The 24,364-nt window shown below is 51.4% G+C and overlaps 1 protein-coding gene and 1 long non-coding RNA gene across 29 annotated transcripts in view, besides 1 other annotated feature; one reads left to right on the forward strand and one right to left on the reverse strand.

Annotated features, from left to right (window-relative positions):
• PITX1-AS1 (PITX1 antisense RNA 1) overlaps window positions 1-24,364 on the forward strand; it is a 311,407-nt gene that overhangs the window by 279,837 nt on the left and 7,206 nt on the right. The window contains exon 4 of the long non-coding RNA NR_161235.1: window positions 20,648-21,051. This is a non-coding gene — a long non-coding RNA (PITX1 antisense RNA 1). The remainder of the gene's footprint in view (window positions 1-20,647; window positions 21,052-24,364) is intronic.
• Window positions 515-715: a silencer, noted in NCBI's record as "peak5478 fragment used in MPRA reporter construct". NCBI's record gives its function as "represses an SCP1 promoter by STARR-seq MPRAs in K562 erythroleukemia cells {active_cell/tissue: K562}" and the evidence as "EXISTENCE:reporter gene assay evidence [ECO:0000049][PMID:32103011]".
• Window positions 21,271-24,364, reverse strand: part of MACROH2A1 (macroH2A.1 histone) — a 65,507-nt gene continuing 62,413 nt past the window's right edge. For all 28 annotated transcript variants that reach the window (NR_174487.1, NR_174499.1, NR_174496.1 and 25 more), the window contains one exon: window positions 21,271-22,031. Coding sequence is in view for 9 of the 28 variants with exons in the window: in XM_011543730.4 (XP_011542032.1) it covers window positions 21,866-22,031 (166 nt within the window). In the remaining 19 variants the exon portion in view is untranslated. The remainder of the gene's footprint in view (window positions 22,032-24,364) is intronic.

A 24,364-nucleotide genomic window follows, 5' to 3' on the forward strand; every position in this document is an offset into this window, starting at 1 on the left:
CACTTGGATAAATAAATGTGGATGAAGAGAAGCTCCTTTTCATTGTAGAATGCCAACTGATCAATGTGGAAGGAACGATGTGGTTAGAAAGGTCTCTATTTGGCAGTCATAGTAATAATCATTAATTCAGGCAAAATTAATTACAGTTGTTTCCAATTAAAAAGTTAAACATATTTGCATGTTATGATGTGCCAGGCCCTGTTGTGTGCTATAATTCAGAGCTTAGATATGTGGCACTGTCCCTGCCTGGAATGGTGGCAGGCCACGTTTTAAAAGTTGCTTTTCATCTGTTTGGATGGTCCTGCATGCCTTTGCTCCAGTTGGCAGCTGTTGTGTTCTGCTGGTGTCGGTGTCCACCTGCAGGTAGTCCTGCTCACCTTCTCACCGCTGCTCCTGTCTGCACCCGCTTGCTAGAGGAAGCATCACTGGCTCTCACGGAGGTGTCTTGTGAGGAAGAGGAATGAGCTTTCAGTGCATGGAAGTTGTGACAGTTTTTTGGGCTATTCAAAGACCTTGTGGCCTGTTTCTTGGCCCCTAAAACATCCTGAAGAGGTAAGATTGCCTGAGAGTTGCATTCCATGTTATCAACTTGTAACCACATTTGGTTTAGGGGGACTTTCAGTTTCTTTTCTTGGAGGTGCTTCTTCTGCATTAACTTCAGCAGGTTAATGTGAGAATTCACACCCTCTAGCCAACACAGGAGCCCAGGAGTTGACCAAGTGTGAATGGATGGTCCAAGTCTGTCCACGGAGTGAATTCTCCATAAGTAGCCACTTGTGAGGTGATTCCAGGGGTGCCATCTAGTGAAACACTAGCCAGATGATTCTTCAATGAAAGTATGGAAACCCTTGGTTGTCACTGAGCTGAGTAATGGCCTCAAGTCACACCTCCAGGCCCAGCAGCTTCTGCTCAGAGACAAATGCTGTTTCTTCACTTGCCAGTCCACACATTCCACAGCCTCTTCATTTGCATCTGGTATCCCATGTTGGCTGGGCCATGGTAAAACCTGCAGCTGTGTCTGTCCTTTCTTCTCGGGGCCCAGGAGGAAGGTGTGGGAACAGATTCCCGAGACAACTGTTGTCTATGGAGACCCCATTGCACTGACACCTTTGGGCCTATGGGACATGGCAGATGGCCCTGGGCTGTGGGAAGCTATCCCAGGAAGTTGGGTCCACCACCCACAAATAGATGTTCATCTTTCTGGAGTTGGGGATTTTGTTCCTGGGCTCATTTTTATGTGCTGTTTCTGTCGGCTACTCTCCTTAGAACAACCTCGGCAAGGTGGGGAATAAGAGAGAGATTATGCTGTGTCTGCATTGAGAGGGTCATTCCAAGATGGATGAGTGGCTAGCTGGGGACTTTTTGAATAGGGTTGGGCATGCCTTTTCTTGGCAGGGATTGGTTTTGGTTTGGACTGTGCGCTCTCTTGGGAAGGGTACTGGGGGTGTGTAGTGCCAGGAGAGGCCCCAAATGCCAGCTATCACGTTGAAGGCAGTTTCTTCCAAGGCACATCTATCATGAGTCAAGGAGGGTCTGCTTACACAACCCATGCATCAGGGTCTTAGAGGGCTCTCCTTGCCTTCTTAGACCCTGTCACATGGCTTGGAGAAGCACCTGTTCTCTGTGTGACCACCTGGGCCAGGCCCAGGAACATTCAGCCTCTGTGATAGGAAACACAGGCTGGGAGGTGGGTGTTGTGGCCTCAAGTCTCATATCTGCCAAGAAAATGGGACAACAGATGCAGACATTTCCTCTCTCCCTTTTTGAACCCAGTGTCCTCATCTCTCATTGAGGGGGCCAGATTAGAGGCCTTCCAAGGTTTCTTCCAGATAACATAACACCCATAAAGCCACCTGCCTGGCAAATCTCCTCAATAAAGGGTGTAGGTGTTTGTTCCCATGTGCAGCCCCTCAGGCACGGAACTCATGCAGGCAGGAGATATGTTTCATCCTTCCTGGCAACCGTTCAGGTCTTCTCTTTGTCTTCAGAGCTTTACGGTTTCACTACAATATGTCTAAGTGTGATTTTTAAAAAATATTTATTTATTTATTTTTATTTTACTTTTCCTACTTGGAATTTGTTGGCTTCCAAAACCCGAGGGTTAACAACTTTTACCAATTCTGGAAAAGTATCTGCCATCATCTCTTTAATTCTTCGTCCTCCTCCTATTATCTTTGGGAAATCTGATTAGATATATAATAAACTTTTTCAGTCTATCTTACAGTAAATTTTTGAGAGGAATACAACCAAATACAACAAAAACAATTACTTTTTGCTCACAGGTTCGTGGGTTGGCCCTGGAGGCTCTGCTCCATCCAGAGCCACTTGGTTCAGGTCTGATCCACCTGGCTCTCCTTCCAGGACCCAGGCTGCAGGGGCACAGTTACCTGGGTGAATTCTCAGGCCTTATAGGGCCAAGACAAACCACAGAAGTACATTTAACTTCTGCACATATCATGGCCACTCACACTCCATTGGCTGAAGAAAGTCACGTGGCAAAGCTCCAAATAAGGGGGTGAGAAGTCCACTTCAGCCATGGAGTCAGTTGGGGATTATTTGCTGAGCAATAATACAATCTACCTCAGCCTGTCATCTTTATCACAAATATTCACTTCCCTCCCTCAAGCAAAATGTACTTACTTCCTCCCCAGATGGTTCAAAAATTTCCAATCCAATCACAGCATCAGGCTGGAAGTCTTGTCTCCATCAGTTCCTATTCACCCAGAGGCCCATGAACTAGAGACAAGTATTTGCCCCCAGTTCACCCACCAAAAAACCACAATATACAGTTGAAGAGCTGGGACAGAGTAGCCACAACTGTCCCATTTGAAAGGGGGACAAGCAGGAAGCACAGAACAGGGGTTCACAGCAGATTCTTCCTTTGGGGAAAATACCGTGAGGTCTTCCTACCCTGGGGTTAGACAATATTCCTGGATTAGGTCCTGCTTCTGCTCTCTGGGAACAGCTCCCAGATCCACTGGCTCCTGGTTTCACCCTCTGGGAGTTCCTTCCTTTCCACCATGTTCCTTGTCGACTTCCAGAAAAAAAAGCATTAAAAATATACCCTCCCTAGAGTGGCTGAGTACCTTTCTCAGCCTACCTTCTGCCAATAGAAAGTGGGAGTCCGAGGCTTTTTTTTTTGTATGGGTCAGTTGTTATTGGTTGCATTTTATAAGGTGCTACAAGAAAGAAATGAACTCAGTAAAGAACTGGCTGGTTTGCAAACAGAATTGACAGTCCTGAAGTTCTTAGACTTTTGCAGTTGCAGAATGGAACTGTTTCCTCACCAAATTCAGGGTGTAGCCATTAAGATATAGCCATAGGTCAAAGACGAAATTAAAGCATAGCCATTAAGACATTGTCTCAGAACAAAAATCAGATTGCAGATATGGCCATCACACAACTTTGGTAAAACCTTAAAACCTCTGATTAGATTAAGGTCATACCTGGTAGATTGATTTAACAGGACAAAATGGCTCCTGTGGAAGCCTAAAGAGCCCCAAATACCTAGAATTAAGTTGAGCACATGTGAGAGACTGTGTGAGTGCATGCACGATGGATGGCTCCAAAGAATGGTGGGTCTGGCTTTTGGCATATTGAGTTGGGCTTGGCAGATCATGGAGGTGACACAGTCATGGCTGCCGTGCTCATGCAACTCTGGCCTCAGCTGCAGCTTTTAGCACTGTGGATTTCCACACCTGTCCTTTTTTCTTTTCTTTTTCAGCTGAGTCTTACATGTAAAGTTATGTTTATTATGTCTTATCCAGCATTTCTGGCTGTTATGGTGGGAGGGTGGTCTGCTACATTGTCAGGAGCAGGTCTCCGTTGCACAGCACCCTGACCTCACTCTTCCTGGCACACAGTATGCACTGTTTCTCAAGAAGCCTCTAGGACACAGCCCTGGACTCAGCCCAGGGGCCATCCAGAGGAAGAAAAGACCCAGTTTCTCTTTATGGAGGCTATTGTCAGAGAGAGGACAGGACATATAAACAAAAGGTGCATGAATTACATCTTGCGTGCAAGAGGGAGGCTCAGATGAAAGAACCTAGTAATTCATGCATTTTAAATGCATCTGCTGTGTGCAAGACCCTATGTTAGTGTCTTGCCTATTCATATAATTGTATTGAAACAGCAGCCTTTTGAAGTGTTTACAAATGAGGAAACTGAGTCTTAAAAATGGCAAGTGCTGTAGAAAAAGCCACAAGGTTAGTAGGTGGCTGAACTGAGAAGCCAGGTTTGCCTGGCTCTGAGGTCCACCCTCTCTTCACTGCCCTGTGTTTCTTCAGAAAACAAGGCATGGCAAGGCATAACGGGCTGGGCCAGGCTATGTGGCTGGCAGCGCAGACAGAACGACCCTTGGACAGGCAGACAACCCTGCACAGCCACGGCTCTGAGTGTGGCATGTGCAAGCTGACTGTGGATGTCAGCTGGGGTGGGCCTTGACAGAATTTCTCCTCTTCCCTTTTCATGACAGTAGTAGACACTCAAATGACACAAAGAGTAAATCTTTTAAAATGAGGGTGTGGGATGCAGTACACACAGGCAAAGGGCTGTGTGGTGTGGTTAGGACTGGAGGGGTACCGAGGCATTGTGGTCTTTAAGGTCAGGATCTGGAGCCTCTGGTGACTAGAGTGTGGATGCAAGACATTGAGGGACAGGTGGGTGTGGGTGTTGGTGGCTATTTTGTTGAGTGACTCCCAAATGCTCACCAGCAAGATCTTTTGGGGCCCTGGGCTCCTCAGCTTTTGTTTTAAATCAGAATTCATTCCCAAGGATCCCAGTGGGTTCATCACATAGTTTGGACTTAAATCTTCTCCTGCACCAGCAGTGTCCGCTTATACCTTTTCCATGATGAAAGCCCCATTTCCATCTTTTTCCCCAAGCACTACTCTCTGCCGCATGCAGCCTGTTCCACTGCTTGGTCACTTCTGTTGATACTAGGATGTCCCCATCACTGGAGGAAAGGCTCCAGCAATGTTCGTGGCAGAGGAGGAAAGGAAGCTGATCAGAGCAGCCTGACAACTGGTTTTACTTCCAGCCTCAGGGACTAGAGGGGCCCTTATTCTGTGTCAGCCTCACTTTCCTGGGCTGGCAGGGCCGGGTGCTCTGCTCGGGCCCTGGAATGGTCTGGTGGCCCAGCTGCTGGATGCAGTGTGCTGAGTTAGGTTCAGAAAGACTTTCTCAGTGCAGCAGACTTGAAGCTGGGACCTCTGGATGGGATTCTGTTTCGATGGGGAAGTGCCAGGGCAGGGAGAGGAGTGTAGTGATTAAGAAAGTGGACTTGCCTGGGTGTGGTGGCTCACACCAGTAATCCCAGCACTTGGGGAGGCTGAGGTGGGCAGATCGCCTGAGGTCAGGAGTTCAAGACCAGCCTGGCCAACATGGTGAAACCCCATCTCTACTAAAAATACCAAAAAAATTAGCTGGGCATAGTGGCGGGTGCCTGTAATCCCAGCTATTCAGGAGGCTGAGACAGGAGAATCGCTTGAACCTGGGAGGCAGAGGTTGCAGTGAGCCAAGATCACAGCATTGCACTGCAGCCTGGGCAACAAGAGCGAAACTCCGTCTCAAGAAAAAAAAAAAAAAAAAAGGGGGGGGCGGGGAGGGACTTCAGAGTCACACAGACCTGGATTCAAGCCCTGGTTCTGTTGCTTGCCCATATGAACTTGGGCAGGTCCCTTAAATGCTCAAAGCCTCAGCTTCCCTACCTGTGAGAATGAGGGTCATGGTTCTTCCCTTGTTGTGGTAGGGCCTGTAGCTCAGTGCTTGACACATGATAAGGAATTAACAAATGCTACCTGTCGTTGCTGGTTTTGAAAGGCCTCCTAGAGTCCATGGTGCTGGGTTCTGTTGGCTCTGGTCTGAGCGATGGAAGGGAGCTCAGATGAAAGAACTAGTAATTCAGACTGTGAGTTACAGCCTGGCCAAGTGATGGCCCTCCAGCTTTGGGAGCAGGGGGCTTGAAGGGGGCAGGCCCCTTCCTATAACTTCTTCATATCCCTGGCAAGTGAGTCCCCTGCTCCCCACTCAGCTGGGGGTGGTCTGCCCTGGCCTGCCCATGTCCAAGTCCTCCTGGGAGGCTGTGGTGGCTGTGCTTATGTGCCTGTGCCTAAATGTGAGTTGGGTTGCAAGGGCTTTTCCTAAATGAAGGCTGTGGAGGAGGCTGATGCTGAGGACAGAAATCTAAAGAGAAGGCAGGCACTCTAGGGCCCCTGAGGGGCCCTAGAAAGCCTGCATGCCCCATGTGTGGAAAAGGGTAGATGTTCATCCTCTGGGTTGCACTGTGCCTGGGATTCTGATCATGTTGGGTCTTGTGGGCTCAGCCAGGGAGGAGTGCGGGCGATCCATCATTGATGCTCCATGTGGTTAATGAAGGCACCTGAGGCCCTAAGGAGGTCCCTGACAAGAAGGCTCAGAATGTCCACACCAACTCCATCCCATGCAAATTTTGCAGATTGATGCTTGACCTGCCAGCTGGGAATGACTACCCTAGTCTGCGCATATGAAGAACAGGTGGAGAGCAGCAGCAAGATTGTCTGTGGGAGGAACCCCCAGGGCAGGTGTGATAGGGCATCTGTCCCCTTCAGTGCCCACAGTGGGGCAGATGCAGGGACCTGGAATTGAGGGGCAGAGGGAAGCCCAATGTATGGTCTTCTCACCATGCCCGCTTTCTGGAAGGCATGGTCGGGTTTCTTGGCTACCCACGCCACGGTTCATCTGGGACAGGGCACCTCAAAATGCAAACGAAAAATGTTTCAAATATAATAGCAAATATGCAACGAGGATGCACTGTGTGCCAAAATCTCAGGATTTAAAAGTGAAACAAGTGCCACCACTCACCATCCTGAAGGCTCACTGTTCATCCCCTGCTCTATTTTGCCATCTTCCCCCTCCTTGCGTTTTCATGGTAGGCCTGTGGGAGGAGACCATGAACACCCCCACTTCCCAGCTGAGGAAACTGCATCTGGAGAGCCCAGGCCCACTGCCCACGGTGGCACAGCCAAACAGCGGCGGAAGCAGGAGTGGACTTCAGAGCCAGCACTGCTGTGTCCCCTCGCTGCCCTGGGGAGAGCCTAGAGCCTGCCCCACTGGACTGCCTGTGGCTCTGCTGCACTCATATTTCACCCCCACCAGGAATTTGCAGTGTTGAGAACTAACTTGAAAAGCAGGAGGCTGGAGCCCGTGTTTGAGCTTTGTCAGGCGGGTGCTATGAAAGATTGGAGTGAGGCATGGCCACCTGCTGTGAGAAGACACAGGTTAAGAGGTACAGGGCCTGAGCCCTAACCCCTGCAAGGGAGAAGGGCCCAGCTGGCCTTGGGACTAATCCAGCCACAGGAGAGGGGCTCTGTGCTCCCTTGGCCAGCAGGTGCCCTCGCAGTCCCAGTCATCCTGAGGGCACAGGATGCTCCTTCCAAGGGTGGACAATGCTGGGAGAAAGAATGGGGAAAGCAGAGCCTCATCTACTGGATTTCCTTCTCTCTGAGAACAGAGTGCATAGATCCCATTACCTTTCCTGATGACGACACTTCATCCATCTTTCTGGTGGTGTGAGGCGCACTTATGCCCCAAGGACCTATGAGGATGTCATCATCCTAAAGATGTCCACATCCTAATCCTCAGAATCTGTGCCTGTGATCCCTTCCATGGCAAAGGGACTTTGCAGATGTGATTAAGTGAAGGACCTTGAAGCGGGAGAGTATCCTGGACTTTCCAGCTGGGCCCAATGTCCTCCCCTTGATGGGGTGTCAGAGTCAGAGAAGGAAACATGATGACAGTGGAGTGAGAGAGGGAGACGTCTGAAGATGCTCCACGGCTGGCTTTGAAGATGGGGGCAGGGGCCATGAGCCAAAGAATGTGAGCTGCCTCCAGAAGGTGAAAGAGGTGAGGAAACAGATTCTCCTAGAGCCTCCAGGAGAGCACAGCACTGCTGACGCCTTGATTTTTAGTAGAGTGGGGCCTATCGTGGACTTCTGACCTCCAGAGTGATGAGATATTTTGTGTTGTTTTAAGCCACGAATTTTGTGGCAATTTGTCACAGCAGCAGCAGGAAACTAGTACAGTCATGAAGACCCAAGGATAGGTTAGAGGAGAAAAACAGCAGAGCCCAGTCCTTGACACGCACCAGAGCTGCCTCCCTCCAGGCCCCGCTGCCGTACCCAGGCCACTGTTCCTAAGTGCTCTTTCTGTGGAGGCCTGGTCCCCCTCTTGCTGCCAGCTGGCTGCCCAACCACCTGCAGTGCCTCAGCATCTGTCTCCTTTGGAATTACACCTGACAGCGCATGGAGCAAACAGAGGGATACAGTTCACGGGGACAATGTCCGCGTCACCGCTGTGGGAAGGTGCCCCTTCTTTCCTATGGAATCACGATTGTGAGCATTGTGAGTGATTTCTCTCCATTTGGCTGCATTTCTCAACAATTTCTGGCCCCGTGGCTGTGCTCTGGAGAGCTGGGGCTCCCAGAAGGCTGACTGCCAGCCAGAAAATGGCTTCTGAGCAACATCAGGGAACAGGAAGGAGAATTCACTCTACTTTTGTCCCTGTATAGAAAGCCAAAACAGTGGTGGGATGTGTGAGCTTTTTTCAGAAATACCTTTTGGCTTTGTTGTACTCAGAGAGCCAGCACTAAACCAACACCTTCATCCACAGCTTTAAGAAGAGAGCGTGTGATCGGCAACTGACTTTGTTGAGAGGGACTGTTAGGCTGTGGTGATGGACACGGGGGCAGGGTGGCCAGGGACAATCAACTTTGGTGTTCTGCTTTGTTAAGGGGGTTGGGAATCTTCCATGAACAGACCAGCCTTTGCTCATAGTGGGCCTCCTCCCAGAACCCATGGATCCACACATCCCCAGACCTTTGAACAACTTAAGAAAAACAAATCACCTCTTCATCCAGAGGAATTTAGCCCAGACAATTGCCATGGGATTTGGGCATTTCAAGGCTGTTATAAAAGAGGCACAGACAGAAAGCCAAACGAGACTGTGACACCTGTCTCCCGGTGCTGACAAGTGTCGGTGATGGGCTGTGGAGCAAGTCCCTCTGCACCCTGGGCCTCAGTTTCCCTACCTGCTCCGCAGTTGTTCTCCATGGATCCATCCATTTCTGACTTGTACAACTGGTTAATTCCAGGCTGGAACATAATCCCAGTCCTAGCTTTATACGTTAACACTGAGGACTTCTTGATGCATTCAGGGGTAAGGAGAAACTCTTTCATGAAGAGTCCCAAAAAATTCCACAAAAAGGCTCAGCAGACAGTCCTTAAAATTTGCAAAGAGATCTCAGTTTCACAGAGAATTCCGGACCAGGATGTGGCAGAGCGATGACAGCTCTGTGAGGAGTCACTGGGCAGCCTTGACATCTGCCTGCAATGCTTCCCTCTCCACCCCTCCCTGGGTGCACGGCCAGTCAGAGACCTTCTGGTGGCCTGGCCTCTCAGGAGCCATGTCCAGTTGATCTGCATCCGATAAAAAATTGGCCCTAGACTCCTCTAAGCATCAAAAACATTGTAGTACTACTCCTACCATCCCCACTATTGCCAACCCCAGACAACCAACACTGAACTGTGACGCTGAAATTAAAATAATCACTTTGTAGATTTGATGATTGTAAGTTTATTGACACTGAACTTTTCTCACTTATCGAGGGACCTGCATTGCTTCTCAAGCCTGGAGTGTTTTGCATGACAGCGTTTAAGGTTGTGGGCTTTAGAGTCTGAGAGGACTGGGACCCAAGCTCAGTTGCGTCTCCTTGTCCCTGTGTGACCTTCAGTAAGTCATTTAACCTTCTAAACCTCAACTCCTTCATTCTCAAGAAAGGGATAATGGCATTTCCTATTTCTTAATCACAGGTTTGTTAGAGTTCCACATGACCATTCACTGAGTACTTACTATATGCTGCGCACATATACCGTGCCATTTAATCTACGCAACAGTCTCACGGTGGTTGTGTATATGTGTGTGTGGGGTAATTATTGCTCCTATTGCATAGATAAGTTATAGATTCAGAGAAGCTATATGACATCCAAGGTCATAGTAGCAAGTGACAGAGCTGGGACTCAAAACCCAGGAACTGACTCTGATGTGTCCTTTCTGAACCACTGAGCTAATACCCACCAAGTGCCCAATCGGTGGAGGCTGCCGTTGGCATCACTCATTTGTGCCTGGCACATAGCACATTGGTACTGTGCTCAGTACCAATGACTGAACGGAAAGCTGTGTGCAGATGTATGCAAACCCAACCCTGGAGCACGTGTTGGGTCTCAGTCATAAAATCTGGGTTCCCTTGACCTTGACAGGGTGGCAAGTGGGCAGACGATGTCCTTAGGGACTGTTCCAGGACAAGGCTTGGCACGAGAATGCCCTCTGGGGTGCCCTGAGCAGTCTCCTTCTCTTCCTTCTGGGTAGGCAGGCACTTTTGGAGTCCGAGTCTGGACCCTGGATCCTGGAGGCGGGCACAGGGTTGCTTAGCTTTAAGGGGTAAGTTCAAAGCAAATAGGAAGCTCTCTTAAAAATGAAGGGCAGCATGAATGTCGGGGCCAAAGGAGGATGGTTGAGAATTCCTAGTAAAACTTTACAGCTTCCATGTTTCCCCTCCTCTAAATCTTCCCATGAAAATCATGCATCTGGGGGGCCGTCTTGGCTGAACGAGGGCGGGAGCCACCCATTAGCCCAGCTGAGGGGGGGCTTTCTGGCTTCATTAGTGCCCGCCCATGGCCCTGGTGGACAGACAGCCTATGAATTGGGGGCCATGCTCCAGGCCCATGGGCAAGGAGAAGCAGCCACAGGTGCCCAACAGAGCTGGATGGCACTGACAGGGTCCTCCAGCCCTGCTGGACTGCAAGTGGGCAGCGGAAGCTCAGCTGCTGTCCCTTTTATGCGTATTGACTTAGTGGAGTGCAAACATGTTAAAAGTTCACTTTCTCCTTTATAGGAGTCTATAAAAAGTCTCTTAAACTGGAGCCCTAGGGCTTCAGCGAGACAAACGTAGGATCAGGCTTTGTGGGGGTGCAGTGCTTCCCTCAGCCTTCAGCACAGAGGTGTGAGCCTATTTAAGATAGAGCTGCGGCAGGCTCATGCCAGTGGGCAGAGGGGTCTGGATGTGAAGGCTGCTCTGAGGCTGCCGGGCTGTTTCTGGTGAGTCCCTGCTGGAGACTGACTGGCCCATGTGGCCCTCTGGGGTATGAGGGTGAGAGAGTTCCCGTGCCCGGGAATATTGGGCCGGGCCTGCTGGGCCGCCTGGCGTTTGGGGTTTCTAAACAAGCAGGTGTCTGTGGGAGAAATGTCCTGTGTGCAGTACTCAGGCCAGATGAGCTCAGCAATCATCCTCCCTGGTGACTTGGGTCCTGGGGTGGCCTGCAGGGGTGAGGGAGGATGGCAGGCCTGGGGCAGAGAGGAGGGCACCTGGAGCTGTCCCTCTGGTGAACTCGTTTGGCCTTGGGAGCCATAGAGCCCACAGTTGCGCGCCTGTGGGACACACCCTGGAGAGGACGGCTGAGGGAGAGGTGACGAGCCTCATGGACAAGCCCCGGGAGGCAGTCATGGGCTTTGGAAACAGCGTTTGCTCACTAGGTCTTAGTTTCCACATCTGTCAAGTTGGAGGGTGGTCCCTAACTCTGCATGCGAGTCTCTTGGGGTTGCCACGAGGATATAGTTAGAGGAGTTTGGGGATGGCAGGACAGGCGTTTTGTGGCCCAGAGCGATGAGCTCTGCAGAAGGCTACTGCAGGGTGACCAGGTGACCCCAGCAGGTGTTGAGACCAGAGCCTAACACTCATTAATTCACCCACTAGCTAATGGGTGGCCTAGTGGATGCAGGTGCAGGGCTCACTCCGAGGGCCTGGCCACGGCCACCCTGTCCTGCTCTCCATGCCTTCGTGTGTGCCACACCATGGCGTTGAGCAGGAGCATGTGGGCCATCGCTGCTCACAGGCACGTGCGTATGCATCGGGGCATCCACCTGACATCTGCGTGCCTCTCAGCTCTGCTGACCTGACCCGTGCAGGGGGCTGTGTCACTGAATGGGTTTTGCAAGTACAGCTGTGGCCTCAGTCCATCAGCTCGCACTCCCCAGGGTACCTGGTACCTGGCCTCAGGTGGCTGAAGCCAGGCAGTGAGCAGGTCCCTCTAGAAACTGGGGATGGTTGGTGGGACCAGACTAGCCTCATTGGCCCCTTGCAGGCCTGGCTAGGGCATGAAATTCCACACCAGCCCCTGAGTGACCTTTAGCCCAGGTTCAAACAAGTCTGAGCTTTCCTGAGAGGAGGAGGTGTTCAAAGCTAAATGAAAGCCAGGAAGGGAAACACAGACGCCTTTTTAAAAGGACAGTCATCCCTCTGGGTGCACATCTATTCAAAACACAGGAAGAGGTTAGACAGGTTCTGTGCCTGAGAGGCAGGCTGGCTTTGAAGTCAGAGCTAGTTTCGCGACACCGCCTTGCTGGAGTTCCTTAGCTTGTCTGAGTCCGTAAGATAGAGGTGTGTCACTCATGATAAAATCTTTTGGAGGGAGTTGAATGTGATGTGAATGTCGGGCACCCAGCACTGTGCTGGGACATAGAAATGTTCAGTCCATGGGTGTTATGGTTTCTAGCATCATAATATCACTGTCATCGTTATTACTAGCATAGAACCATTTGCTTGGGGGAAATGCCTTGGTTGTGGCTTTTGCTCCATACACTGAATCAAATGATATGGAAAACATGGGGTGTCGCCCTGAAGGGCTCCATGGCTAAGTGTTCTAGAACAGAGCTAACCAGTGCAATTCCCTGCAATGCTGGAGATGTCTATAATCATTGCTGTCCAACATGGTAGCCACTAACCACATGTGGCTGCCAAGCATTTGAAGTGTAGCTAGTGTGAATGAGGAACTGAATTTTTAATTGTATTTAACTTTAGTTTAAATACACGTGACTAGTGTCTACTGTATTAGTGCAGTTCTAGAATGTTCCTTCCAAGTGGATGTTGCCCAGTTCCCCTCTGAGCTGTGACAGCGCTGCATGGAGGGGCTGGCCGATGCCTCCAGCACCCTTGGCCACATGCAGTAAAGATGGGCTCTGATGGGGTGTGGTAGTGATCGCCACCTGGGCATGAGCTGGCTGCTCTGGAGCACAGACTGCAGCCAGACCCTGGGTTTCAGATGTGGCAGTTACACAGCTTCCACCCTCCATGGGAATCAAAGTAAGAGTCGCGGTTCCCATCCACTAAGGATTTCCGACTGATGCTGTGTGGCCAACTCAATTTTACAGAAGAAAACATGCCCTGAAGAGGGGTGGTGACTTGTCCCAAAGCGCACGCGATGGTGGCCTACCTCTTCCTGCCTCTAAACCAGCTCCTCATATCAGAGTAAAGGACCAGCCGGGTTTCCTACTGAAGGAGAGCCAAGCGCAGAGGCTCAAGGTCACCGGTGCAGATGCCCAGTGCTTCCCTCACCTGGCTCCCTCCTGGCCCCCCCCACCACCACACCCCACCCAGGCCACCTCTACGGGGCCCCCTGGATGGTGAGACGCCTCCCTGTATCCTGTTATCTATTCCTGGCAATGCCCTTGACAGCGGGGTGGCCTGGGCCGTGAGTAGCTTCCCATGTTACAGCTGCGGGGATGGAGGCTCCGAGGGATGGAGCGACCTGCCTGAGATCCCACAGGGAGTTGGCCAATCTGCCTGCAGGGAGGCAAGGCCGTCTGGGGCCTTTCTGTTGCCCAGCCCAGTTCTCCCGCCAGGCAGGTCCTCCCTGCCTTGTTGGACTTCCTGTGGCATTCACTGGGTGGACGGCCACACCCGGGACACATCCCCCAAAACTGGCTTCAAGCTGTACCGTCCACAGAGGCTGGCCAGGGCCCGGAGTGGGGTGGTCCTGCTCAGAGGGTGGGTGGGTCGGCGGCGGGGAGGCTGACAGGCCTTAATGGGCACATTGTCCCCTTGCTGTGAGAGCGCCGTCCCGCCACCTCCTCACACGCGTCGTGCTGGATGAGCTCATGTCTGAGGCTGTGGGCGGCACGGGGCAGCCGAGCCGGGCTGCAGGGAGGCCCGTCCCAGAGAAGCCCGCGCGGGCTGGGGCAGGCGGAGCCGTGAGGCGGAACCTTGTAATGAGCGACGCCGGCTGGATTTATGGGGCTGCGCACGTGCGCCTGGCCTTCCTGCGAGGGCCTCCGCATGGGAACAAAAACAAGTCCTGGCCCGGGAATGGCGCGACTGAGTCTTAACAAGGGCGCACTAATTACTGGAAGGCCCGGGCCGGGACCCCAACCTGGGAGGAGCAGAACTTGGGCCCCGTTGTGTGTCCATTTGGGCTTTGCTGGGGTCCCTGGTCTTTTTACCCAGGAGGCCCAGAAGGAAGCCCAGACTCTCAGGGCCTGCCCGGGGTCCTCCTCTCTCCAGCTCTTTGGTCTTGGACGAGGTGCTCATCCGAACCTCTCGTCCTTTTTGAGGCCCTTGGGAGGCAGCATACCAGGATGAAAGAGAGTTGACCACAGAGTCGCAGGTCCCTGGCTGTGAGTCCTGGTTCTGCCAGGTTCCTGCTGTGTGGCCTGGGCAAGTCACTTCACCTCTCTGATCTAAGCTCCCTTTACCTAGAAAGCGGGGCTATGATGTTCCCTTGGCAGGGCTTTTAGGAGGATTTGATGAAATGATGCACGCAGACTCCTCAGCTTATTGCCCACCCACGCTGACTGGCACACAGGCAGGGATCTCTGCTGCTGTAATTCACAGGCATCTCCTGCAGACATTGCCCACTGTTTTCCCTGTTGATTGACACTGGATTTGGCATCTATCCAGGAAGGTCCCATGTCCACTCCCTTTTCAAGTCAGGAGCTTGCAAGAGCAGAAGCACTAGATGCCATGAGACCCCGACTGTGGTTAGCAGTGGCAAGATGGGGCCGAGCTGTGGCCTGGTGCCAACATCAGACTCCACTCTGAAGCCACCATGCACCTGCTTGAAGCGAGAGGTCCAGCATGATGGGTTACCCCCAGCTGTCACCCGGGCTGACTTTCACATGGGCATGTTATTCCCATGCTCCTCTCTCTGAGTCAGGCCCTCTGCCTGCTGCTTGGCCTTTGAGTCCTGTTGTTGATTCTTAGAGCCATCAAGAGAAAACCCCTGCCCTGCCCTGTGCCCTTGGGGTGAGGCAGTGAGGGCGCAGCAGGTGTGCGGCCCCTAGCTTCTGCCTTCATGGAGGGCAGGGTCTCCTTTGCTTGTCCCCAGAGTCTATTACAGAGCTTGGCCCAGTGGGCTCATGGAATGTGTGCATGAGTGGTGCTCAGCATCTGATGGGGTAGATGGCCACGTAACCACATGACAGCTGTTCAGAAGGCACAGCACTGTGGCTGGCAGCAGTGCAGGGTGCACTGAGAGAGAGGGCACCTCCCCACTGACAGAATGGTCAGGGAGGGCTTCCTGGAGGAAGCATAAGGGATGTCTAAGAGCAGAGCCCTGCAGGGTTGAGTAGGATTACAAATAAGTGGAGGCTGTAGTGTGTTCTGGTGGGGAACTGGTGTATGCAAAGGCCTCAAGGTGAGATACGAGTAGCCCTAGGGAGGAAGTATAGTAGAGAGCATGCGAGGGGATGGTGTGAGATGAGGCTGAAAAGGACCCTCCTTTCTCCATTCCCAGGCCTGCCAAGGTGTTAGAAGGCAACTTCTAAACTTCCATGCACCTCAGATTCCTCAGCTATCAAATGGAGACACTGCCATCACTATCTGCAGGTGTTGTAGGATTACACGGGCAGGGTGAGTGTGGGTGTTTTGTATGTGTAAAGGGCTGAGTGGGGTGTGGCCCTTTGAGATGACCCGGAATGACTAGGGACACATAGGAGGACAGGAGAGGGCCCCCTGGAAAAAGATGCCCCTTGGGTGGAATCTCCAGTGGATTTGCCCATAATTAAATCCTGGAGGGGCTGTTAGTGACTGCGGAGAAATATATCATAAGCACCTTGAGCTCAGTGAAAGTTCCTTAAAGTTAGCCCAGCAGTGGCCCAAGGTGGCATTTCCCTCTAGAGGATGTGGCCTCGCGGCCAAGTGCATTCTCTCTGGGGTCCAGCGGCCTCCTTGAGGTGGGAATCTGCAGCCAGGACCTCCATGGGACCTAATGAGGAGCTGCTGGCTTTCAATTACGTGCGCGGCCCTGGCTCTGCGCCGTTTGACTGACAGCTCATTACCCCACTGCCATTTCTGGGCACTGGAATTTAATCTCCCAGATGGGAAGCAAATCAATTTGCCCATCCGCCGCAGCTGAGCCTACTTGAACTCAACTCTAATTTATTCTCTTAAGCTTAGGAAGCCTTGTCGTTTCAAGGGACAGAAATATCAGGTTTCCCAGCCAGTCTGGCCAGAGAGTGAACAGGGAGATGAGCTGAGAGGGTCATGCCTGGGGCCCGACCTGGGTGAGCAGTGGTGGTCAGCAGGGGACGTGCCATCACCCTGTGTCAGAAGAAGCTGGGCTCTGGCCTAGCAGGCCAGGCTGGTGGACGGGAAGGGTGTATATGGGAATGGGGGATAGTGTGACTCCTGATGTGGGGATCCCGGGTGCCTGTCCCAGGGCTCAGGACAGGAAGAGACTCCCCAGCAAGGCAGATCTGACCTCCTGCCTGCATGTGTTCTAGGGCCATGCCAGTGATCATCACTCAGTGATCATTGCTCTGGCTTCAGGGCTTTGAACATAAGATTTGGAGGGTGTCTTTCTGGGATTTTCAGCTTTTTACTCTCCTCAAGGAGCAGTTACAAACCTGAAGCCAAGGCGGTGACCTTTAACCTGTGACATTGGGACTGTTTTCCTCCTCTGGCCCAGCAGGGCCATCAGAGGGCTTCCTTGCCAGGGAGTACACGACCTGCTAGGAGTGCTCTAGGGCACATTCATGCAGACACTGAGTGTGTGCAGACTGTGGTGGTGAGTGGCTGCTGTCCTCTGCTGTGGGTGCTGGGTCCCCCATCAGACGCTGGGGAGTCCCGGCACCCTGTTCTAAGTTAGCCAAGGGAGTTATTAGCAGAAGATCTGCAGACAGTTCCGGTCACTTCACAGAGCAAACTAGGCCAAGGAGGGCCTCTGGAGGAGTAGTGTCAGCTATGTTTTGTGGGAGACAGAATCCTGGCTGCTCTCTGGCCGGTTCAAAGGGTGTTTGTCTGCATGTTCTTCATTTCTATACTCTGCTAACACAGAGGGCTCTGGGGCCTCGCTGTGTGCACGTGAATGTATGTGTGTGTGCGTGTGCACCCATGGAAATGGGTGAGTGTGGGAGGGGTGGGAGTCGCTTAGTGGGGAGAAGGGGAGTGAGGAGGAAGTGCTTCCTATGGAGAGAGTGTTTCTAAGACACTCTTCTGTGAGTTTGACAAGGCAGCCCAGGCTGGGTTGGTTTCCAGGGTCAGGGAAAGGCCACTCTATTTACACACCTTTGCGGAGGAGCATGGAGGGCAGGGCGGGGGCTGGGGATTAATGAGCAGTGTTATTGCCTGTCAGGAGGCTCATGTGATATTGTTTTGATATGGGGGGCCCCCAGAAGCAAACACAACAGGCAAGTTATAAGTGGAAGAAAAGGCGAAGAAAAGGTGGCCTCGCCCCAGCCATTGAGCATTCCCCTTCTCAGCAGGGAGTGGGTCCCAGGACTCCCTCCTCGCCCCATCGCCTTCAGGTGGATCACTGGAAGGCGGCACCAAGGCCAGCTCCCAAGATAACATCGGCCAGGAGTGCCCGGCAGCAAAAATTAAACATCATAGTTGCTAATGAGTAAACTGAGCAAGCCCTTTTTCCAGGACCATTCGGGGTGATGGACGAGGCAGCCTGAGTGACAAATGAGGAACTGAGAGGCTTGCCTGACCCAAAGTAGACAGGCCCAGAGTGGACAGGCCCAGTGAGGGCTTCCACCTCCTGAGAAAGGCTGACCACCCCCAGGACTGGGAGGGGCAGGACGCTGGGTGAGAATGGGACACCCACCTCTTCTTTTTTTGCCTTAGTGTAAGCCAATTCCTCTGGCAGGGCTGACTGTAGTTGTGACCAAATACAGTCACCTGACCCTGAATGGGAGGGGGAATTCTGCCACAGACAAATCCATGGATAGACAACTCCAAATGCTGGGGATGGCGTGTAGCGAGCAGAGGCCAGGGCTGAAGTGGCTGTCCTAGGTGGGAAGCGGGTGAAGACTGAGATTCTCCACAGAGAGGGTGCAGGAGCTCCCCAGCTGGGGCTGATAGAGCAGCCTCTATGCCAGCTTGCCATCTGTTACCCATTGCTTTGCCCTCCTGACCTGGGAGATTCCAACCTTTCCTATCAAATTCAGCACTAGGTTTTCTGCCCCAAGAAGCCCTCCCTGAGCCTGCTCAGCCAGTGAGCAAAACTCCCTGCCCTGAGCCCCTGCCTTTTTAGCAGGTACTTCTCTGAGTTTAGTGCTTGCTGGACAATGCTTGCTTACCTGCCTTTGTAAGAAACCCTTAATCCGAGGCCTCTTTCATAGAAAGCATTTAGTAAGTCCTTGTTGATCACTGGATTGCTTTAAATGCACATTCCTATTCATCTGTCATCCAACAAGTTCTGTTTATGTTCCCAGGGCCAGCCACACAGGAGCTCCCAGTGAGCACGTAAGAAGCCCTGTATAACCTGAAGAACAAAATATTGGGATGGATAGCAAAGGAGAGTTCAGCTCCAGGGAGCTCGTTGTAGAGTCAGAGCTGGGTTCAAATCCCACTTCCACCATTCATGGCTGTGTGACCTTAGGGAATACACTTCACCTCTCTGTGTCATAGTTTCCTTGTCTGTAAAACAGAGATAGTATTACCTACCTCATAGGTTTGCCATGAGAAGTCAATGATGTATGTAGAGGACACACACATACAGTGGCTGTTATTGTCAGTTCAGTACCAGTTGGAGCCACAGCATTGCGTTAGATCTCAGATGTCATTTAAAGGGGCCCATGGAGGAGCACTGAGAAAATCGTCTGGATTATTCAGGGCAGGGCCCAGCTGTTGAGGGCAAGAATTGTTCTTGAGAAATGAATGGGAGTGGGTATTGTCTGCCTAATGCTGCTGTTGGATCACAGGGTTGCATGGCTCTGAGTTCGAGGGAGGCTGGGGGGACTCAGCACAGCGACAGTGGATGGGACAGCTCTGTCGGTGACACCCACTGCAAGCCTGCCTCTGAAGGCTTACAGTGAAGAGAAGGGCTGGGCTGCAACACTTAACCTCTCTAGAACCTGCAGGATTTTACCCCCTCACAAAATACTTGCATTTCTGTTAAGTTTTACTAAGTGCAAACTTGTCTTTTGAATAGAGGCATGTGTGCATTTCAAGACGTTCCTTGCAGTTGCACCAATTTTTTAAAAGTAATGAGCTTTTTTCCCCCCTTAAAGCATGAGGCTGACATCAGAGAACAGTTTTTGATCCCAGTTTTAAAAACGAACTGAGTGGCTTAGCAATGGTGGGAACCCCAGGCAACTTGTTGGCTCACTTTCCCTCAGTTTCATTGAAAAGAATTTCTACAGTGTGCCCACATCACAGGGCATGATGCACTTTGGATTATTCAAAGTTTAGAAACATTTAGGTGATTATGGTAAATCATTCATGCAAACAGCGATAAATGCAATTTATTCTTTTGTGCAATCTTACAAGGAGAGCAGAAATCGCAGCCCTTTTCTCTAGTTCTCAGTCCTTTTGGTGACATCTAGTGGAAGATCTTTGAAAAACACATTTGCTTCTATGGTGTTCCTCCAAAGGTAAGCCCATCCAATTAAGTCATTTAAACCTTGGTTCCACCTACAAGTCCCTCTGTGTTTCAGTCTCTGAGTTAGAAATTCCAAGGCCAAATGGACTCTCTTTGGCTGCTGGTAAGCACGTGCCATCCGGGACCCTATATCACAGTAGTCAGAAACTCTGCATTTGAATCTGGTTGTCACTTTTCAGCAGTGTGATCACCTCCAGCTAAAAAATGCATCTAATAATAGGACCTGCCCTATAGGGTTATTGCAAGGACCAAACGAAATGATACCCATGAAGGACTCAGCACAGTACCTGACATACAGTAAATATCAGTCTGACCAGCTAACAGTGGCCACAATTTTCCATTACCCTCCATCCACACTGCAGATCCTACCTGCACAAACAATGCTCTTGGGTGGAGGGCCGCATAGTATGGTTTGACTAAGCAGTTTGCTGGTATTAACTATGAAGTGGTATCATTTTAAGATCAGCTTCTTAAAAAGATAATGCAGTCCCCCACCTCCTCCACCGTTCTCTCTCATTTCAAATCAAGAAATAGGAATACATAATCTAGACCCAGCAAAGATCTTGGAAAAGAAACGTAACATAACTCCTTATGTTCAGATAAAATTTTGAAAAATCAACTTTCAGGTTTAAGTTGGAAATCTTTGCCTTTCATGGAAAAGATTGGTTGTGTGATGGTCTAGGACCTTCTGTTTTGAGGAGTTTGTATTAGGCACAGTTTGGGAAGGAAAAATGATCCTTTACATTCGGCCACGATATGAAGTGTACTGCATATTTCTTCCTGGTTAAAGTCTGCTTTAGACGCAGGCTTCTTTCTTTTCTTTCTCTTTTCTTTTTTCCTCTTTCTTTCTTTCAAGAGACGGAAAGAGTCTTCTGTGTATTTTAGGCAAATTTAGGTTAAGGTGTAAGTGCCCTTTGAAGCAAAAAGTGTCCATGTTTTGCTAACATATATTTTAGCTACTCTGGCTTGGCTGAGGTCTTCCTAGATAATCAACATCCCTCAACAGCCTTGGCGGTGAGAAGGCACGTGAAAGCTGCCAGCACATCCCAGGAGCCTTGGCTGTGGCGGCTTCTCCTTGGAAAGCTCCACGCACCCTTCTGCCAGGGATCCTGTCCTGCAGGGATGACAGACCCAGCAGCCTCGGCAGAGGGAATGAGGCTCCAGCAGCTTCATCAGCAAGTGGCCAGGCCCAGCCCTAAGTCACAGACTGTCAGAAGGGGACAATGGTAGGAGAGAGCTGGGCTCAGGGTCTGGAGCCTGCCACATGCCACCTGCACGGCTTTGGATACACTCCCTCCTTCATCTGTGGAACGGGGAATGGGGATAACACCCTGGCCCAAGGGTCACACAGAACCAAAAGGTGAGACTTTATAAAAATTCTCTCTACAAACCACTGGGGCCAGCAGATGGCCCACACCCACCCAGGTTGCAGTGAACACTGTGGAGCATCCAAGGAGTTGTGGGAGCAGGGTGGGGGTTGAGGGGGATGGACTGCCCTGCCCCCACATCCTGGGACTGCAGAAGCCGACTTAAGACCTGTGACTCACGGGCACAATAACTGGAACACACCAGTCACAACAACGGTTTAACATTTTACTAAATCAACTCACACAAATTCCAAATTGCAAATATAATTAAGGACAACAGATTCTGCTTTGCCTTATTAAATCTTTCATTTTCAAATCCATCAATAAGACAAAAAGTAACCAAAAATTAGGTCTGTTGCAAATTCATGATTCTTCTGAGGGGGGAAACCAAAAGAACATTAGAGTAAAAAGAACGCCACTGGAGGATGTACAATAAAGCACCACAACACACGCTTACAAACGGGGCTTCCTGGCTTCGGTGACAGGTAAAAGACGCTGTTCTCCCCACTGCTGTGCGTCAATCAGGGTTTCATTAAAATAAAACTATAAAATCTCCTAGGTTACACTAAGTCAGACACGGTCTGGAACACAGTGCTTAACAACAGTAATGCCAACTATCAGTGCTAACATAAAAACATTTTAGAAGGTCAAAAACAATTAAACTGGAAACCAAAGCCTTATTTTCCCTAGATGAGCAAAACTGAAAATGAAAGGGGTCCCACCTCCCAGTAGGAGTGAAGGGGATTTTTTTTTTCTTTTAAACTGAAGGTGGGGTACATGGTGCAGCTGGTTCTGTCATTGCTCAGCCTAGTTGGCGTCCAGCTTGGCCATTTCCTGCACATAGATGCCTATACTCTCGCTGTCAAAAAGCACGAAGTACACCGTTTTGATGGAAGAGGACATTGTAGACACGAAGTAACTGGAGATGGCCTTCAGAATCAGCTGAGCTGCTGTCTGCTTTGGAAAACCGTTCCTGGAGAAGAGAAGATAAGCACTCAGCAACTGGGATGCCACGGGGGCTGCAGGACCTGCCCCACCTTACAGGCCACCTCCCTCTGTGCTGCAGCTTGCCTTGTGTTGGGTCGGTGTCTGTTGAGCCCCGTGTCTGCTTGTACGCCAGTGTGGGAAAGCCCAGTGCCCAGAAGATGGGATGGGGGACAGACAACTGGGCAGAGAGCTGGCACCTGCAGAAGGATGTGCTATGTGCTTTTAGAGAAGGCAGTAGCCAGCAAACAGAATAGTGTTTTGTGGTGTGCATTAAGCCCCCGAAGTACAGTGTAAGCTCCTGATTTTCTTTTTCCATGATACCTTTGACTAGCACAGTGCCTGAGCCATAGCCCAGGCTCTTGATGTCAGCCCCAGGGGATGGCTGCAGGTTCTCTGGGAAGGCACTGACCTCTATCCACCCACACAGAAGAGTTACCCCTTCACACCAGGGGCCACCGCCCAGGAATCCACCCTCTAACACACACCAGCGGTACCACCCCAGAGGCCAGAACGCAGGGAGCTGTGGGCTCTTCAACTCTGGGCTATCATCCAAGTTTCCAAGCCAAATGTGTTTGAATCCACACACATTTCCACTTCAAATAAATGTCGTGGCAATTTTTGGAGGTAGGTGCTCTGGACTTAAAAATGTGAAATCAGGACTGGCAAGACTGGCCCTCACTGCTCTGTGGTGTGCCTGAGGCTGCTCCTGGTCAGCATGGCATGTGGGTAGCCCAGGGGACCCCGGAGGAGATGGGCAGCTTGCCTGGTCTAGTGAAAACCTGGGTTTAGAGCCAGTGGCCCTGGATTCACATCCCTTACTGGTCCCATTTTACAGTTAAGGATACTGAGGGTGAGTCTGGGGCCAGCTCTCATGGGTAGGCTCTTTGTTCATTGGCAGATCTACAGTCACAGATCCGCCTGAGCCTGTGGGCGTGTTGGTGTCCAAAGCGCTGGGCCAACCCGCCTATTTCAGCTGGAGCTCTCCCTCACATGAGGCACCTGCTGCCAGGTGGAGGGGTTTCCAGAGGTGGTAAGGTGGGTATCTACTGTAGTACTGCTAGCTTCACTCACTGCATGCCTGTGCACTCTGAACCTCCTGGCTTGGCCCTGGAACATCTCAGCGATCCACTGTTGACAGTGCACAGTGCATTTCACAGCCACAGGGGAAACCCTCTTGTGACTTGCTTTTGACCACACACGGCTTCACCCGGCTGGTGGAGACTTAGGAGCTTCTGGATGCCTCAGGAGTGGAGTTCACTCTTAGAGGACAAGAGATGTGCCCCCAGCCTATGTGAAGGAGCCTGCGGGCAATTAGTGGGGGGCAACCCAGGGTTCCTTCACACACAGGCGGCAGCTCCTCAGCCACAGAGCAGCCAGCGCATACAACTCTTCCCATGAGAGGGGTCAGAGCTCCAGAGCCGCTCTGGCCACGAGAGTGGTGTTAGACCTGCGCAGCTTCCTCCCGGGAGACCCTGGTGATTCTAGACTAGACTAACAGGTGGGCCAGGATGGAGGGCGGCATGTATAGTGAAAGAAAAGGGCTCTGCTGAGAGTGGGCAGGTCATTCCTCTGGCACCAGTGCTGTTTGCAGATCTGAAATCTTGGCCCACACCAGGCAGAGCTGCCCTGACTATATTCACAGGAGTCAAGGAGCACAGAGGACAGGTTATCTGGAATGAGCCACGTTGAGAATTGCTTGAGGAGATAAAAACTCAATCTTCCATTTTTGGGGGGCATCTTTCCAGCAGCTCAGGCTGCTTCTAACTGTGGGCTGGGATCCTCGGTCCTGTTGCAGCCTGTACTTAGGGGCCAAGGGCTTCTGGAGCAGGCAGAGCCCAGTCTGTGGATGTGACCTGGATCAACGGGGGCTGCAGGGTGCTGAGAGGAGCTGTGAGAAGTTGCATTTTGCATGTGAATCCCAAGACCATGCTCTGCCAGCTCCAAGGTCCCTACAGTGAGGTGCCCTCTTGCCTGTCTCAGCCTCACACGTGCACAGGGAGCTGGGCTGGGCTGAGGGCCTGTGGAGCTACTGCAAACAGCAGTTGTCAGGTGGCCCGATGTTCTGCCTAGCTGAGCTAGCCCTGGGGCAGGGCTTCTGTAGCTGCAGCCGGGCTGCATGCCCAGGCAGCTGTCTCCAACAACGGTTAGCTACATCCCACACAAGCTGGGTGAGATGTGGTATGATGCAGACACAGTGTAGCCTGGCCCATGCCCATGCCATGCCATGCTGACTGGGAGGTCCCAAGGGGTCTCCCTGGAACACACCAAAAGTGTGCCAGTCACTCCTGCCTGTGACCAGTGCTTTCTGACACAGACCCC

The sequence above is a fragment of the Homo sapiens genome, chromosome 5, assembly GCF_000001405.40.
Source record: "Homo sapiens chromosome 5, GRCh38.p14 Primary Assembly".
Lineage (NCBI taxonomy): Eukaryota > Metazoa > Chordata > Mammalia > Primates > Hominidae > Homo > Homo sapiens.